We start from the raw sequence: 19438 nt of genomic DNA, 5'->3' as shown, positions 1-19438 counted from the left end.
TTAAATTAATTAAAATTAAATTCCATTAAACATTCTGTTCTTAAGTTGCAATAGCAACATTTTAAGTAGTCTTTAGCCACAGGTGGCTAGGGCTACTGTACTGCACAGTACAGATATAGAACATTTCCATCATTGCAGAAAGGTTTACTGTACAGGACTCTGATAGCCTCTGATTCCCTTAAAGGACTGATTTTTGCCCTTTTTATTTCTATATTCCGTACACCTAGCACATAATAGGAGCTCAATAAGTATTTACGGGATGAATGAGTACAGGAAGTTCAAATGCTGAGCTAAGAGAAATAATTTATAACCTATATTATTTTGAAGCCGTAAATTTAAGTTTTTCTCATTTATTTGGTTGCTCTGGTGAACATTTTATTGTACTTTGAAATGATGAATTAAAACCAAAATTTTGAGTTGTGTACAAGATTGGCAAATATGTGTGCATTCAAGTGGTCTGAACTCCAAAGACATTGCTTTCCCTAAAGATTAATGGTATTACTTCTGGGTATATTGCCATCCAGCTGTGAGATTTGTCCGTAGAAATTTGTTAATAAAGAACATGTCTCTTCTAAAATCTTCAAAATGCCAGACTACTTGCATTCCTTATGAAGCCTCAGGTTACCAAATGTAGCAAATATGCTACTCCATGCTGTACTTTGGCTTCAGGAGCATGCTTTTGGAACCAAGATATTCTCAATCAAATTGACTTGAACCAGAAGGAGAGGTATTAACTCACATAAAGAAACATCCATAGATGGAGCATGTTCAGGGTGGTTGATTCCACGACATAATGATGTCAACAAAGATCCAAGTTCTTGATACCACTTGCCCCATGGCCACCTTTATTATCAGATTAACTTTAGGCAAGATGATGGATCTTGGCATCGCCTACAGAAACAATGCTTTCCAAAGAAAGAAGAGAGACCGTCTCTTCTGTTGCCCTCTCAAAAGAATTAGGAAACTTGTCCTAGAAGCCCTATGTGACTTCCTCTCATCTCTCATTGGCCAGAATAAGGTCACATACCCATTTTCTATCCAATCACAAGTGAGAAGACATACATTATTTCTACCTCAATCAGGCCCACAGGTAGAGCTGAGGATAGGTTCAGACTCCCTCACGTGAAACACATGATGGCCTAGGAGCAAGAAATCTTTGAATGATATAGGGATCCCTTAGCAAGCAAGGAAGGAAATGGATGTTGTACAGTCAACCAACAATTCCTGCTCATAGGAATTAGTATCCCAATCTTTTAGAATATGTGACATAGAAATCTTCTAAACCTCAGTGGAAAGATAGGTAGCTTGATGACCACCCTAGGGTATTTTAAAAAGTCACTAAATTCACAAATATCAGTATAAATCAATTTTGTCATGTCAACTAAATCCTGAAGTCACACTTTGACTAACATGTCTCCTATATTTAATGAAAAATAATGAATTACGGTATTTAGATTCATATTTAAGTCACCAAGCCTAGGAGGATGGAGTAAACAAACCCACACCACATTTCTCATATATCTGATTTAAAATATATATAATCTTTGCACTGTCTTCATCTCGTTTCAACTTCTGGGGTGCTGGAAGACTATTCAGACTCTAGGCTGGTGATTCTCAGTTGGTGGTAAGGTTGGGCATGGCCATCAGAATCTCTTTGGGGAGCTTCTTCACATATCTCCTTTACCCCTCTTTCGATCCCCTTTTCAATATGTTCCTTCTCCTCTCTGATTGTGAGAGTAAATTTTAGTAAAATATATATCTTTTCCTAAGACTTCAGTTTTTTCCAATATTTTACATGAAGTGTAAAAGAGCACATCTTAAAATAATAAAAGTCTGCACGTGGTGGAATCAGTATCAAGCAATTACCATGTGCCAACTGTGGTGCCAGGCCATTTCATCCTCATTTAACCCACACAGAAATTCTCTGCGGGGAATCTCATATCTGGGTTATTAATGAAGGCAGTCAGACACAGAGGGTTTGAGGGAACTGCTTCTGCTAATGAGTGGCAGGGCTGGGACTGAAAACCATGGCTGTCTCTGTCTAAAGGCAGCCCTCTTCCCATTAAATGATTGATATGTTATTCTGGAGCAATGTTTTAAGCTTGTTGAGAATAAAGCACAGCATGTCCAAGACACAGAGAGAGCTGGTAGTAGGACCACAGCAGGCCAGTGGGCAGAACAGCAGAATCCTGGCTTTGACTTTGTTATTGATGAATGATGAGGTCTTTAACATCTCCAGACGTCTCTTTCCATAGAAATCTTCTACTAGATCAGGGGTTGGTAAACCATGGCCCTTGGGCCAAATCTGGCCCATTGCCTGCTTTTGTAAATAAAATTTTATTGGAACACAGCCATGCCCATTTGTTTATATACTGTCTAAGGCTGCTTTTGCCATGGAACAGTACAGTTGAGTAGTTGTGGCAGAGACTGAATGGTAAGCAGACTAAAATATTTAATATCTGGCCCTTTGCAGAAAACATTTGCCAACCCTTGTACTAGATCAGTGATTCTCAACTTTGGTGGTACCTTGGCATATTTAAATATTGCTGATGTCTGAGCCCTACTCCCAGAAATTTTTATTTAATTGGTCTGGGTGAAGCTCAAGAATAGCTACATTTTTTTAAATGTACTTCAGGTATATCTCATGTCAAGCCAGAAATTTCCCAAGTGTAACATTGAGTCCATGAAGATGTAGGTGTTCAGAGAAAGTTCTGTCTTAAGTAGTAATAAGCCCAATGACTTAAGCTAGAATTTTACTCAGATCTACATGGCTCCAAAGCTTATGCCCTTTACCCAATTACTTACTAGCCAACCCAGTTCACCTCTCTGAACTTCTGTTCCTTCATCTACAAAACAGGGATAGTAAAATTTTTCTTGCCTGCCTCAATGATCAAATTGGAATGGAGTGTTCAAATGTACCTTAAAAACTGTGAAGTGCTAAATAAATGTAAATATATTCTTGGAAACATTTTCTAGAATCACTGGGAGAGACTTTAAAAGAAGAGATATTACTATTTTTTTCTAAACTCGGTGGGAAAATTTGGATCCAATATGTATCTCCAAATTTCATTCTATTTTATGTTTTCAAATCTTCAGATAGAATGAACAGCACATACCTCTTTCTGCAGCTTGTGCAGCATTCTTACATAAATGCTTTCACGTGTCCCCTGTAGTCTTCCTTTATTCCACCCTGTTTCATAGCCTGTGGCCTTTTTAATCATTCTGCAATTGTTCGCTTCCCAAGCTGCCTTTCTGGCTGCATGCTTCTGAATGCACTCCAGCGACTAGGAAGGCTTTCCAAAGTTTTTGGACATTTTTTTCCATTTTCTCCTTAATGAAGTGCCTGGACCTGTCTACATTTTTCCAAGTATGATCTCATCAGCATATTCTAGAGAGAGGATCATCTTTTCACAGCCATGGAGTGAAGCTCGGGAGTGTGGCCTAAACCAGGATATGGACATTGGCATTGCTGCTATTTGGTTTTTTTTATTATTCTTATTATTGTTTCATTTTTTATACATATGAATTTTTGCTCCAGTGTTCTGGATTCTTTTTAACATTGATTTTTTTGTTGTTATTTGTTTTTACTTTTAACAGCAACTCTGATTTTCTTGGTACTAACTATGATCTACATGCTATATTAGCATTTGGTAAACTGTGGCCTAAGGGCCAAATCCAATGGCTGCTTATTTTTTAAAATAAAGTTTTATTGATACAGGCACACCCATTTGTTTATGTATTATGTATTGCTACTTTTGTGCTACAAGCACAGAGATGAGTAATTGAGACAGAGACCATATGGCCCACAAAGCCTAAAATATTTATTTAGTGGTCCTTTACAGAAAAATAATTGCCAACCCCTGTATTAAGTGAATTCACTGATGTAGACATTAACCAGATAGTTTGGGAAAGGAAATAACTATGATATATTTGTATTTCTCTTTCATTTTATACATTTTAATAATAAAATCCATTTATAATATATCTTTCATTAATGATTTCTTCATCACCACCACACGTCATGCACAACTTCTCTTGTGGGTTTACATGCTAGTGATGACACAGACAAACAAGCAAATGGAGACAGGCATCAAGATCACTTCAGGTGCTAAGTGTGGTGAAGAAAATAAGACCCAGTAATGTGATAAAATGTGATGTTCAGACTGGTTTTGTGGTCATCAGGAAAGCACCTCTCGAGAATTTAACATTTGCATTATTTCTGAATGCATGAAAAAGCAAACCATGTGAAAATCTAGGGAAGAGCTTTTGAGGCAGAGGGAGGAGCAAGTGCTAAGACCCAGAGGAGTAAATAAGCCTGGTGTATTCCAGAAATAGATGACCACAGTGCTTAAAGTAGAATTGAGAGAGGGAAAGGGAGTTGGAAGCTGAGGCAGTGTTCAGATCTTGTAGGGTCATGTGGGTTAGAGCAGGGGTCCCCAGTCCCTGGGCCATGGACCAGTACTGGTTCCTGGCCTGTTAGGAACCCGGCCACACAGCAGGAGGTGAATGGTGGGCGGGCGAGTGAGGGAAGCTTCATCTGTATTTACAGCCATTCCCCATCGCTTGCATTACTGCCTGAGCTCTGCCTCCTGTCAGATCAGTGGCTGGATCAGATTCTAATAGGAATGTGAACCCTGTTGTGAACTGTGCATGCGAAGGATCTGGGTTGCATGCTCCGTATGAGAATCTAATGCCTGATGATTTGTCACTGTCTCCTGTCACCCCCAGCTGGGACCATTTAGTTGCAGAAAAACAAGCTCAGGGCGCTCACTGATTCTACATTATGGTGAGTTGTATAATTATTTCATTATGTATTATAATGTTATAATAATAGAAATAAAGTGCACAATAAATGTAATGCGCAAGAATCCTACCCCCTCCCTGGTCCATGGAAAAATGGTCTTCCATGAAACTGGTCCCTGGTGCCAAAAAGGTTGGAGACCTCTGGGTTAGGCATAGGAGTCTGAGTCTGGACTTATGCTAAGTGTGATGGAAAGTCTTGGGAGGATGGTGGATATGTGACAGACCTGCTCTGATGTCTGTTTGTGAGAGATCACTCTAACTGTTCTCTGAAGAATGGATTACCAGGGTCAGGAGAAAAGGCAGCCATCCCAGTTATTAGCTATAAACACAATACTGTCTTCGATTACAGAGGAAACTTGGTAAAACTTAATGGAGCCCAAACTTCCACTTGGAAAGGAAGATCCAGTTTAGCAAACTGAGAGGTAAAGATGAGGAAACTACCATCTAATCTCCAACTGAGGAGGTTAGCCAAGGAGAACATTCATATGTGTTGTCCATTCTGCTAATGATATCTCAGTTACTGGTCATTTTTCTCTTTTTGCCCTTGCCAGCAAGAAGCTCAGAGTTAAACTTGTTTAGTGCCATCAAATGTGCCAGTGTACATTTTCTTTCTACTTCATTCCATGACCTCAATTTCCCATTTTTATTTGGAATTTATATACTAACTTGTAAGCTGTATCAAATCCTACTTTGAAAGAACTGGCCAACCCATAAAATAGTGATGGAATCTGTAATTTACAAAGTCTACTAAAAGTTTTTTTCCCTTTGCTCCAACGTTAGCGTATTGGTTTATGCTGGCTGTGGAAAGACATCTTCATAAGAGTTTGTTATATAAATGATGAACTGACAGTTACAGTTAGCACCAAGCACTCAAACAATTGTCCCCAATTACTCAAGGATGCCATGGACACTTCTCACTCCCACTGAACTCAGAGTATTTTGTAAAATTAACTCACTCCCATATATGAATGTAAATATAAACATAAATAAGAAGGTCTAAAAGTTTGTTAGTGGAAAAGAACTCTGGCTGTATCAGATTTCCTTACTATTGTTACTACCCTGAGCTACATAATTAATTAAGAGAAGAATTCAGGGAGAAATAGAATGTTTAAACAACACTTTCGTTCATTGGTTCATGGAATGCTGGGCTCATGTGAGAGATACTTCTTTCTCAAAAGAAGCGCCATTCTGTTTGAAGTGCAGTTAGCTGTTAGATACTAAATGCAAGGCTGAAATGCTGAATTTCTTTCTGATAAATTTACAGTCTCAGGCTACACTAGAGAGGCAGTAGAATAAACAGCCTCAGTAAACTGAGGTCTGCAGTCAGATTTGCTGGACTGGACACAGCAACACTATTCACTCATACATGTGATATAGCAAAGACAGCAGCTGCTTGCACAAGATGGCACTCTTAAGGCAGAATTTATTTCTTCTCACTCCCTTTGTTTTCAGGGCCCAGAATGGCATGGTAACAATGCTGAAAGGTTATTTGTTGAATCAGTGAATGAATGAATGATTCTGTAACGATGGAGAATGTATACCTAGATAACTATGATTTAGGCTAGGATTTGTTGAATTCCCTAAGAGAGTTTTAAACAACAACCTAAGGTAACAGACAAGGCCTTATGGGTCAGTGGGTAGGGGAGGGGAATGGCATACTAACTGGGACTTGGAGGGTGGACAGGATTTGGCAAATTGGAGATACTGGAAAGAGTCATCCTATGCTGGGAGTAAAGAATGGACAAATGCAGGGTCTGCACCCCACATGTAGTTCTACTTAGTCAGACCTACAAACCACAACAATTAGGAAATAACAGAATCGTTTCATGGCCATATATGGCTTTTCACATGCCCATAGGAATTTTAGAAATTACATAATTTTTCATAGTATAAATTAATTAATTTTAAGTAGAATTATTTAACTTTACATACATATTTATTTTAAGATTTTGATGGTTAATAACTTTTAAAATTATATATAAAGACAAATTTTGTCTTTTCCCACTTAATACATTCTTGTTTAGCAGTCATTAACAACTTACTTAAAAAAATACCTAAGGTCACTTTAAAGTTCATATGGAACCAAAAAAGAGCCCCCATTGCCAAGACAATCCTAAGCCAAAAGAACAAAGCTGGAGGCATCATGCTACCTGACTTCAAACTATACTACAAGGCTACAGTAACCAAAACAGCATGGTACTGGTACCAAAACAGAGATATAGACCAATGGAACAGAACAGGGCCCTCAGAAATAATACCACACATCTACAACCATCTGATCTTTGACAAACCTGACAAAAACAAGAAATAGGGAAAGGATTCCCTACTTAATAAATGGTGCTGGGAAAACTGGCTAGCCATATGGAGAAAGCTGAAACTGGATCCCTTCCTTACACCTTATACAAAAATTAATTCAAGATGGATTAAAGACTTAAATTTTAGACCTAAAACCATAAAAACCCTAGAAGAAAACCTAGGCAATACCATTCAGGACATAGGCATGGGCAAGGACTTCATATCTAAACACCAAAAACAATGGCAACAGAAGCCAAAATTGACAAATGGGATCTAATTAAACTAAAGAGCTTCTGCACAGCAAAAGAAACTACCATCAGAGTGAATGGGCAACCTACAGAATGGGAGAAAATTTTTGCAGTCTACTCATCTGACAAAGGGCTAATATCCAGAATCTACAATGAACTCAAACAAATTTACAAGAAAAAAACAAACCACCCCATCAAAAAGTGGGTGAAGGATATGAACAGACGCTTCTCAAAAGAAGTCATTTATGCAGCCAACAGACATGAAAAAATGCTCATCATCACTGGCCATCAGAGAAATGCAAATCAAAACCACAATGAGATACCATCTCACGCCAGTTAGAATGGCGATCATTCAAAAGTCAGGAAACAACAGGTGCTGGAGAGGATGTGGAGAAATAGGAACACTTTTACACTGTTGGTGGGACTGTAAACTAGTTCAACCATTGTGGAAGACAGTGTGGTGATTCCTCAAGGATCTAGAACTAGAAATACCATTTGACCCAGCCATCCCATTACTGGGTATATGCCCAAAGGATTAGAAATCATGCTGCTATAAAGACACATGCACATGTATATTTATTGAAGCACTATTCCCAATAGCAAAGACTTGGAACCAACCAGATGTCCATCAGTGATAGACTGGATTAAGAAAATGGGGCACATATACACCATGGAATACTATGCAGCTATAAAAAACGATGAGTTCATGTCCTTTGTAGGGACATGGATGAAGCTGGAAACCATCATTCTCAGCAAACTATCACAAGGACAAAAAAACCAAACACCGCATGTTCTCACTCATAGGTGGGAATTAAACAATGAGAACACTTGGACACAGGAAGGGGAACATCACACACTGGGGCCTGTTGTGGGGTGGGGGGAGGGGGGAGGGATAGCATTAGGAGATATACCTAATGTAAATGACGAGTTAATGGGTGCAGCACACCAACATGGCACATGTATACATATGGAACAAACCTGCACGTTGTGCACATGTACCCTAGAACTTAAAGTATAATAAAAAAAAATACCTAAGGTCTATGGGGAAAAAAGAGGAGGAGAAAAGAGGTGATTTGTTGACACATAAATTAATAGTGGTGGGACACTGAGCTAATTGTTTACTGTTCACCACTACCTCATCTGCACACAGAGGCCATACTGCCTAGTCCACAGAATTGTCATATGCATAAAATAATATATTAGAAGACATTTTAGCAGTTATAAGTTGCTATACAAATACAATACTGGATGGGGAGTTTGGAAACATCTCTCTACCAGTTTGAAGCCTACTGCATAGTCTAAATGAAAGAGAAAGAAGGCTGAACTAGTAGTAGTAATTTGGAGATGATCCAATGGGCACGAACATCATTTCAGAAGCAGTATAAACCCAATTCAGTAGTTAATTAAATAAGCAAAGTTCACAGAAGGAGGAGGATATGAAAATGGCTAAAATCTTGAACCTACATGATTAGCCAAGTGATGATATTAGCACACATACTCACATATAAATACACTCTCATACACACAGATATATGCATGTGTGTATATGTGTATGTGTGTGTGTATTTTTTAAAAGGTGGGAATGGAAATTAGATTCCAGAGAACGTCCTTCATCTGATCATGCATCAAGAAAAATATTGTTCTTTGGTGCTTTTGACAAAGGGTTATGGTTGGACTTGATACATCCAGGGAAATGGCCACCATCCCTCCAGTGCCTTTTGAATGCTTACATAAGATAGAAGGTGCGATTGAGATTGAGTTTCCTAGTAGTGAGTGTAATTCAACTCAAACAAGGTAATAAGGAAGATTTGAAGCCTCTTTTACTGGGGTTTGTAAAGATAGGGGAGCTGTCATTCATCTAATAGATGTAGCTTTCAGACTGATGACAAATAGCAGACTAGATGTCCTCTCTGGTTTCCGTATCTACAGATTCCCATGATCATATGTGAAAAGGTGATTGGAATTGTAGAGAAGATAGAAAGATAAAAACTGAGCTGAATGACCAAATCTGGTGATCACTGCTTCAATGAGTCATTCTGCAAATATTTATGGAGTGCACACATGTGCCAGACCCTGTACATAGTCGAGCCTAGGGCAACATCAAGGAACAACCTGATCTCCATACTTAAGGTAATCATTGTGTAGTGGAGGATGAAAGGATTGCTACTATTTGTAATTCATAAACCCTGAAAAGTGCAGTTAAAATTTCTGTCTACTTTCTGCATTGCTCTTGTGTAGTTCATTATCCCTGAAATCATTGCTGTCACTCCTAGATGTGTGACAATGTGACTATGTCACAGGGAACTCTATTATCAGACGGAAACTGGCAACCACTTGTGTGGTGGTCCCTGATATGTGCCAATAGCTCCACTTATTTAAAAATAGCTTCCCCTGCAGCCTGCCTGTCCTACTTGAGACCCATGCCACTGGGATATAGTGTTAGATCTTGAAAAGTTCCTTTATGCCATTAACATTAGCAGTATTTCCCAAAATGAGTTCTATGGTCTATTCTTTCTGTAGGACACTCGGGGAAAAATATGAAAATATTTAAACATTTTTTAAAAATCTGTACTTTGCTATCCCATCTAATATATTTATAATGAACAATAACATGGAAAGTCCTGGGCATAAAAGGTTTTGATAAGTTCTGACTTCCTATGCTTTTAACCATGGAACCCATCTTTTCATGGGACTCTTGCTAACAGCTTGTAAAACACACATCTTTGGGAAATGCTGGTTCATCAGACTGGGTGGCATCAATGAGAGCAGAGAGTTGAGCCTCAAGGGAATGGAACACAAGACAAGCAAATTTAGATGGAAGAGGAGGAGGAGAAGATTCTGGACCATGTGTTCTCTCACCAGCTGTCTGCCTGCAGTGTTGGCCTTGTTCGTGCTACAAGAAATGGAGCAAAATCTCATTCGCAGTTGCCTTGTTGCTCAAGGAATTTTTAAGAGACAAGGGTGAAGGGTTCCAACTGCAAACATATATACATGTGGGTGTAAGAAACATAAACAGAAGAGAGCACTTATGGGTAACAGAAGTGCCAGCTGGGACTTTAGAGCTGGGTGGTTTGTGTTTGCAAAGTTTTTTTTTTTTTTTTTTTTTTAGTCGAGAGTAGTTCTTAGAGTACATAATCCATATGGTGTGTTTAAAATAGACCACATAGTCCGAAAATGGAGCTCCTGAGAAATTCACAGATAACAATCTCAACTGCTATTTTCATATGTTAAAGCCGAAATCATCTCGTAAAGATAATTCAGGATGAAATATTTTCATTTCCATTTAAATGCAGAATTATTTAGTTTTCATTGCAAAAAGCTCCAGCCAGAGCCTCCTAATAAAGTCCCATGCCTGACTCCAGGCATTTTTGAAGTGTCTGTTACAATACCGTGGTATCTAGCTTGTAGGAAAAGATAAAAAGAGAAGATATACAAAGAGAATAAAAGATCTGGAATCAAATGTTTTAATAATTAATTCTACTAGGGAACAGGGAGCGGCAACCTGTAGAGTTATAACTGTGGAGAGTGCTTGAGTACTTGGCTTTATGATAAAAATCCCAAATCACTTTCAGCTTTATTCTTTGCTTAAAAACAGTAATTCATTACTGAAAACCATGAAATAAAAAAGTTCACTAATTAGATTAAATGGATACTAAATAGATAAATACATAAGTAGATTTTGTACCTATAAATATAAATGTTGTGAAGATTTGTTGAGTCATTTTTTTGTGACTCATTTTCTTTCCCAACTTCCCAATCTTTTGGGGCTCATGGTTGCATTATATTCAGAATACACTTACAAATAGTGCAGAAAGAAATATATACCAAGGGGGCAACATTAAGGTGTGTCTCAAAAATGAGGAAATGGCACATGTGGCCAACAGCCATCAACCAGTTTATCCTTCTTCCTTAGCTTAAAAACCAAGCAAAACCCTTTGAGTTCGTTCAAGCATGGTAGACATAAAACTTGTTTCATATTACTATATTCTCTTACTAAAAATTGTTGTGTCAAGTAAATTGATGAAGATATCTTTGTCTAAATTAATAATGTTGACATATCACTTCTTTTAGTTCATTTAGTGTGTTTTGGGGTGAAAAAATTGATATTCTGGGAAGAAAGTAGTGTTCTAAAAGTGGTATAATACCTCAGAAGCCATTATGAGAAAAAAATCATTAACTGTACCATATTATATATTAAGTATTATGTATCACACATTGCACTTATAAAGCCTGAATTATATAATACTTTTCAGCTCACCTCAGAGAAGACAGCATTGTGCTGTGTGCCTAGTGGAAGATTTTCACTTCAGACAAAAGGATGGGAATAAGTAACTTGCTCAGGGACTTATACCAAGTTTATAGACACAATAAATTAGCCAACACAACTTTATGCAGCAGTTGTGGAAAGTTTGATTCCAAATAAGTTAAGCAAAGAAAGATTAGCTTGTTGGAATAATCCCAGAATATTTTAACAGAAGAGGAGCTCTTGTCCAGGATTGGCCAATAACCAGCTCTTTGGCCTTGGAAAAGTCTCATATCCTCTGGGATCCTCTCTTTCCTCATTTGTAATAAAAAGGAGTGGTTGCACTAGATCTTCATTAAAGTCCATTAAGTATCCACATTCTGGGAAGCTAATGTTTTAGTTAACCTCTTAAAGTAGAGAACACAATAGATGTGAGATTTTTAATTTAATGTGGCCCCAGTGGTTACAGGGTTATACCTATACCTATACCTATGTTTATACATGTAATAGGGAGAGATTGATTTGAATGTTTTGAAATAAAAGCATTCTAAGTCATCTCACACCACATTCATTTATAGAAATTGTGGGACCCTATTAGACCCAAAAAGGATTTGAATACTATATCAGGTTGATAAATGTAGACACTAACAAACCATCCAGAAACTTGTATTTCAAACACATCCTGCACATCCTGAACTGGAGTCGAGATATCACCAGATCTTTCCCACACACACTGTATACAATGGACTATGCTTCATGCTTCTCTGTTCATCTCCAGGGTATCTGTTTGGTGCCAGATCAGTGTTTCAGGAAATTAGTAGTTACTGAGTTTTTCTCATAGTAGTTCCAAAAGTCAGTTTCGTGCTACATGGGTGACTTTAAAGATGACATATGTTAATTTATATAACATTATCCGAGATGAAAATGTAAAAGCTGTGCCTTCAATGAAAGGCATCAAAAGTCTGAAAACCAGAAGTTTACTTATAAAATGTAAATCTTTTAAAACTGGACTTATCTCCCATGGCCCCATGGAGTAATGAGTGTTGTAACTTCAAAGCTAAGTTTCTAAAACTTGACACTTGTGATATTTTGGGCCAGGTAGTTCTTTGTGATGGGAGACTGCCCTCTGCACTGTAGGATGTTTAGAAGCATCCCTGGCCTCTACCCACTAGATGCCATTAGCAATCCTCCATCACCATGCAACAACCAAAAACGTGTCCAGCTATTGCAAGATGTGCCCTGGGAGACAAAATAGCCCCAAGATGAAAATCACTGCCTTATGGAAAGATAAGTTGGCAGTGATATTATATCACAATTTTCTTTTCTTGAAAATAATAGTGGTGTAATTATACATTTGACAAGAAAAAAATAGTTTGTGGCTAATTGAACTCTGATGTAAGTTTTTGGTGCTGCTATGCTGACTTCTGTGAGTATGTTCAGTAGAGTTAATTTACTGTCCTTTTAAATACTTAGGCAACATGGAGTTAATTCACATACATGGAATAGAAGCTGGACAGGGGGTTAGAAGTTAGTCCATATATTAAAATGGATGGAGGAAGATTACTATCGAAATTGCAAAAAGAAGAATTTGTTCCTTTCCCTTGGAGCGGACCTAAGGAACTTAATTTATGTTGATTTTTTTTTCCTTAAGAATTGGAAACAAGGAAAATAAAGCCAGAAAACAAGCACATTTGAGAGTAAATAAAGTCATTTCTTCCATATTTATTTCATCTGAGCGTATTCTTGCCAGCTGATAATGGATACATTTCAACTTCTCCTGGAAGGTCATAATGCTTTTGCCTAAGAAATCTTTTATAATCAGAAGCAGGCTAACAGTTTGTGAAAACATCCAAAAAGACAGAGTCCTGAGGAGTTGATATTGGGGTCTGTGTGTGTGTGTGTGTCTTTTTGTGTTTTATAACCCAACCTTGGCAGAAGCAGAGAAACCAGTCAGGGGACCATTGTGATAATCCAGAAAAGAGTAACGGCAGTGTGGACCTGGGTGGTCCAAGTGGAGGTGATGAGAGCGGGTGATAGGATTTGCTAATGGATCAAATGTGAATACAGGACGAATCAAGGGTGTCTCTAAGTACTTTGGCCAAAGCATGCAAGTGGATGGAGTTGTCATTAACTGAGATGGGGAAGACTGGGAGAAGCAGGATTGGTAGTAAAGGGTAGGTGGGAGAATATAAAAAGTATCATTTTGGACATGTTGCATTTGACATGCTTATTAAACACCCAACAATGGATGCTGAGCAGGCAGTTAAATATAAGAGTATATTTAACTGGGAGAGAGGTCTGAGCTGGAGATATACAGCATTCAGATATCACATAAAATCATGCAACTGGAATAGATCCACTGAAGACTGATATGGAAAGGAAAACAGAGAGAAGAGGTGGGAGGACTAAGCCCCAGAGCATGCTGATATTAACAAGTCAGGGGCAAAATAGCACAAAAGTAAACAACCCAGATGTCTATCAACAGATGAAACAAGTTATGGTCTATCTATACAGTAGAATAGTCTTCATTCATAAAGGAATGAAGTACTGACACATAGGACAACATGGATGTACCTTGAAAAGCTTGTGCTAAGTGAAAGAAGCCAGACACAAAAGACATATGAAATCTTTTATAATCAGAAGCAGGCTAACAGTTTGTGAAAACATCCAAAAAGACAGAGTCCTGAGGAGTTGATGTTGGGGTGTGTGTGTGTGTGTGTGTGTGTGTGTCTTTTTGTGTTTTATAACCCAACCTTGGCAGAAGCAGAGAAACCAGTCAGGGGACCATTGTGATAATCCAGAAAAGAGTAACAGTAGTGTGGACCTGGGTGGTCCATATTCTATTATAGGAATATGTATTCATATAAATACATATTCTATTTATATGAATAACCAGAATAATAAAATCCATAGAAACAGAAAGCAGATTAGTGGTTACCAGGGGTTAGGTGGAGGGGAGAATGTTGAGTGACCTTTTTATGGATACAGGATCTCGTCTTGGAGTGATAACATTGTTTTGAAACTAGATAGAGGTGGGTGGCTGGACAACATTGTGGATGTACTAAATGCCATATAATTGTTCACTTTGAAATGGTTTCTTTTGTGTTATGTGAATTTCACCTTAATTTGAAAAAAAAAAGGGAACAAGAAAGGAAGAGGAGAAGGGATCAGTGAAGCAGGCTCAGGAGAAACAGAGGAGCAGAACAAAAACCAAGATGGTTTTCCTGTGCCTATCCTGACAGTCAAGAATAGGAAATGTTTCTTCTTTTTCTTTCTTCCCTGTTTGTTTGTTTGTTTGTTTGTTTGTTTGTTTGTTTTAGACAATCTTGCTCTGTCACTCAGGCTGGTGTGCAGTGGTGTGATCTCAGCTCAATTCAGTCTTGTCCTCCCAGGCTCAAGCAATTCTCATACCTCAGCCTCTCAAGTAGCTGGGATTACAGGCACATGCCACCACGTCTGGCTAATTTTTGTGTATTTAGTAGAGACAGGGTTTCACCATGTTGGCCAGACTGGTCTCAAACTCCTGGCCTCAAGTGATCCTCCTGCATCAGCCTCCCAAAGTGCTGGGATTACAGGTGTGAGCCACCACGCCCAGCCTAGAAAGTGTTTCAGGGATAGTGATGAGCTTTGTAAAATGCTGCCCATGAGCCACACCTGATATGGACTGAGAACTAATGTTAGATGTAGTAATGTTGAAGTAACTAGTGATCCTTCATTAGAACAGCTTTGGTGGCTGCAATGGCTTGAAAAGAGGAGGTTCACAAGACTGGGAGGCAGGAAAGTGGAAAGAGGAAATAGAAACAACACTTGGAAGGAGTCTCCTTGTAAAAGGAAGTTGAGAAATGTGTCACTATCTGGAGAAAAATTGGGAGATAGGAGAAATAACTGCATGTTTTGAAGGTGATTTTAAAGCTTTGACTTATTCCCTCCCTTACCCCATAATTACTCAAAAGTTGCTTGCAGGGTTTACTACTGGAGAGTGAATACACTTGCAAATCAATCAATCACCCTAGCCTACAGTTATTATTAAGGAAGCAACACATTCAGTGAGCACAATTATAGAAGTGCAAGATGACTAAGTGACATTTGTATACTTAAAGGGTACACAGCACACATATGTACACATACTCTATTTATGGGCCCTGACTAAAATGGGTGGAAACACAGTATTTTAATTGTGTGTCATGATGAGTTTTTTGGCATCGTACCAGATTTGGACAGATTTGTTGATACTAGAAAATACTGCTGCCTGCAAATAATAACTGACAATAGATTAATATTTGTGCTGCAGAATGAAGTTGTAGACAGTGCTTTTACTATGATTTTATTGGCCTGTTTAAGGACCCACCAAGGAAGAGCATTGCAATGAGCTAGTACAGGAAGCCAGCTTGCACTGATGCACAAGCCTGATTACAGCGTGGTCCTAAAATTAGAGAGTGGAGGACTGGAAAGAAAATGAAATTAGCTGAAAAACAGAGCTGATTTGCTTTGTGTTTGGGAGGTTTTCATGTAAATGAGTTTTATAGTGAGGTAAATAAATTGAAGCAGTATAAAATGCATGGGAAAAGAAAAATTGGCTTCAGGGAGTCCAGATAGTTTTTCAAAAGTTTTGTTATAAATGACAGGAAATAAAGGATGGACTAACTTGAGAGGGACAGGAATAAATATGTTTTTATTTTAAGATAGAAGACTTAGTAGGATATTTGTAAAGGTGAGATTTAAAAGTTTAACTTATTCCTATTTCCGCTCATAATTTTTCAAAAATTACTATTAATTGATGGCTGCACTAACAAGTCAATATCCGTGATCCTCACTTAATAGCACCATGTTGGGGAAACAACCTTCACCCTTTCATTTCCCCTTCGTATGACAGGTTAAAATAATTGGCATTTATTTCCCAAAAGAGTAAATAAGAACATAGCTTTATAGCTTTAAAATCTGCATTGCATTTCACAAATTCGTAAGCTTTTTCATAATTCCTCAAATAAGAAGGGGCATACTGCTGTGTTCATTGGCTGGGACGATGGTTGAGAGAAGGGATAACCAATATGGTGGTGCCCAATGGATTCACTGGATGACCAATTAGTTTCAGAGGTTTCTATAACAGCAAACTGCATGGATGTGTTGATGAGTACGTAGGCCCAGCATGTCAGGGATGTCCTGAATCTGCTCCCATCTCTCTAAGAGGAAACACACAAAGAGTGGGATGCATGGGGAGGCGACCCGCCAAACATCTGTGTTTAATTTTTCAACAGCAATGACCACCCAGGGGGCAGCGGCTTCTTCCCAGGGAAACTCGATTACACCAGCATGAGGTGCCTTCACTTCCTGGAGGAAAAATTATACCTTTGGTCAAGCAGAAAAATCTGCTTTGGAAAGAGTTTCCTAAAGTGTTGTCCCTGCTTCGGTTTAAAAAGGAACTTTGGAAAGATTTTTAAGAAAAAATGTTCTGAGCCCAGTAGTTTCCTCTCTCCTGTCACTGGCAAGTTTTGAAAGAGATAGGGGAGGTGAGTGGAGGTGTGGGGGTTCACATTGGGGCAAGTCAGTCAGTCAGGAGCTGATGGGTCATGTGTTTTGTGCCCAGTCTGCCAAAGTCATTAAGGCCAGAGGGTATGAATTGGGTATGTTCGTGGAAGAATTTGTAACTATCTTCCTTTAGTTCTTCTCTTGGTCAGCCAGAGAGCTTTTTGAGGCTGGCTTCCAGGTACAACTATGTGCTGGCAACATCCTTGAACATTCCAAGAGAAGTCTTGATGTATTTTGTGGGCTCTTGTTTTTGTGTTTTTAGAGACAAGGTCTTGCTCTATCACCCAGGCTGGAGTGCAGTGGCATAATCATAGCTTGCTGCAGCCTCCAACTCCTGGGTTTAAGTGATCTTCCCACCTCAGCCTCTCAAGTAGCTAGGACTACAGATATGCACCAACACATCTGGCTAATTTTTTTATTTTTTGTAGAGTTGGGGTCTCTATATTGCCCAGGCTGGCCTTGAACTCCTGGGCTCGAACAATCCTCCCGCCTCTGCCTCCCAAAGTGTTGGGATTACAGGCGCCTGGACCCTGAAGGATTTTGATAGAGAACCAAGTCATGTTCATGGTGCCTCCAGGTGGCATTTGCCAGCCCTGTAAGCTTGTCCTGCCTCTGCTCCATTTCACTTTTCATATCAAGTTGCATTCCCTTTCAATTGGTATCAGCTATCTCCAACTTTCTCCCATTTGCGTAATAACCTATTATTTACCAATCTTTGCTCACTTACTCATTTTGAGATTAATTTTTGTTAGGTTCAATGCTCAGTCTAAATTTTCTTTCCATAATATTGAACGAATTTTTTTAATGGAATGTTTCCTGTTCTTACAGCATTCTCTCTTGTTAGACCTTGAGCACCCAAAAGGCAGGGCCCATGTCTTATTATTCCATTTGTATCTTAGTCAAACGGCAGCCCACCCACTGCTCTGCCCACACCGTTGCCTTAAGGATAGAATTCAAGGGCCTTGTCTGTTTTATCCTCAAGTCTATTACCATCCTTGCCATATAGTAGCATTCCATGAATATGTGCTGAATGAATGAATGAACAAGTGAATGAATGAATGGAATGAACTGGCAAAGTCAGTCATGATCTCATGCATGCTCTGCATACCTGCCTGGTAGAATTAAACTGTGTACTCTGGCTCCAGGCTGCCTGGGCTTGCATCCTAGCTTTATACCTTACTGGGCACTCTGACCTCTCTCTGCCTTCATTTCCTCATCTCTAAATAGTAGTACCTATATCCCAGGAGTTGTGAGGATTAACAAGCAGTTATTAAGCAGGAAAAACTATGAGTGGCATATGGTAAGACTATATATGGATTAGCCATTTTATATCTCTTCATTCCATGTCCCACAGTCTGTGGTCAGATCACATCTACTTTCACAGATGTTGCTTTGGGGATGCCTCCCACCTCCTGGGATGCAGTTGTCCCTGTTTACTCATCATGGCCCACAGCCTCCTAAAAAATATATTCCTTGGCCTCCACAGTCTGTGCAAGCTTCCTCAATCATGAGTTTGGGCAGCACCACATACCATACCTCTATTGGAATGCCTATATTATTTTTTAACTGGCTGTTGTCTGTTCGTCCCACAAAAATGTGAGCTCCTGTAGGGTAGGGACACTCTTTCATCTGTAGATCCTCAGTGGGGGGTGTGCACAAAAAATGGACCTCCCAAAATGTTGGACATTGAGGAGTTCCTGGACCACAGAGACATTTTGGGGTAAGAATATATATCCCCATGTTTGACTATGTTTTTGAGGCATTAAATGGATAAAACACTAAAGCAGTTTTTCTCTAGGAGTAACGAGAAGATTCGAAGAATTGAAAGCTGAAAGATAATACGTGAATTACTAGGATGAAAAAGAATGTGAAAGCTAGCCAGGAACTTATCAAATTCCAAATGCAGTAAATTAAATAAAACCAGAGGCTACTGAGAGAGATGGTTTTGAAACTGATATGGTTTGGTCGGTGGAAGGAGATGGCAGCTTAGGCTGCACTGTGCTGGTAAACTTTTAGTAAGCTTTTCAATCTTCAGAAGTCCTCCCAGACTCAGAACAATGTAACTGTATATGGTGCATTATCAGATTCCCCATTCTCAGACCAGAAAAGAATCATTAAATATATCCATCATGGGGACAAGGAAAATATATCTTGTGCTCTAGGGTCAGGTTCCCAACATAAGTTTGGAAGACAGAACATCTGAAATTTTCTGATATCAGTACTTATTTTCTTAATGCCTTTAGCCAGATTTCAAAGTCTTTGGTTCATTTCTCACCAGAGTGTTTCATTTTGGTTTTGGTCATATAGAGTACTATGTTTGGTG

At 38.8% G+C, this 19438-nt stretch overlaps 1 long non-coding RNA gene across 1 annotated transcript in view; it reads left to right on the top strand.

The window, feature by feature from the left end:
• HCCS-DT (HCCS divergent transcript) overlaps nucleotides 1-19438 on the top strand; it is a 263596-nt gene that overhangs the window by 162148 nt on the left and 82010 nt on the right. The window lies entirely within an intron of this gene.

This window comes from Homo sapiens, chromosome X (assembly GCF_000001405.40).
Source record: "Homo sapiens chromosome X, GRCh38.p14 Primary Assembly".
In the NCBI taxonomy this organism is placed as follows: Eukaryota; Metazoa; Chordata; class Mammalia; order Primates; family Hominidae; genus Homo; species Homo sapiens.
The sequence above is the reverse complement of the archived record's forward strand: the minus strand, read 5'-3'. Positions and strand labels throughout refer to the sequence as shown.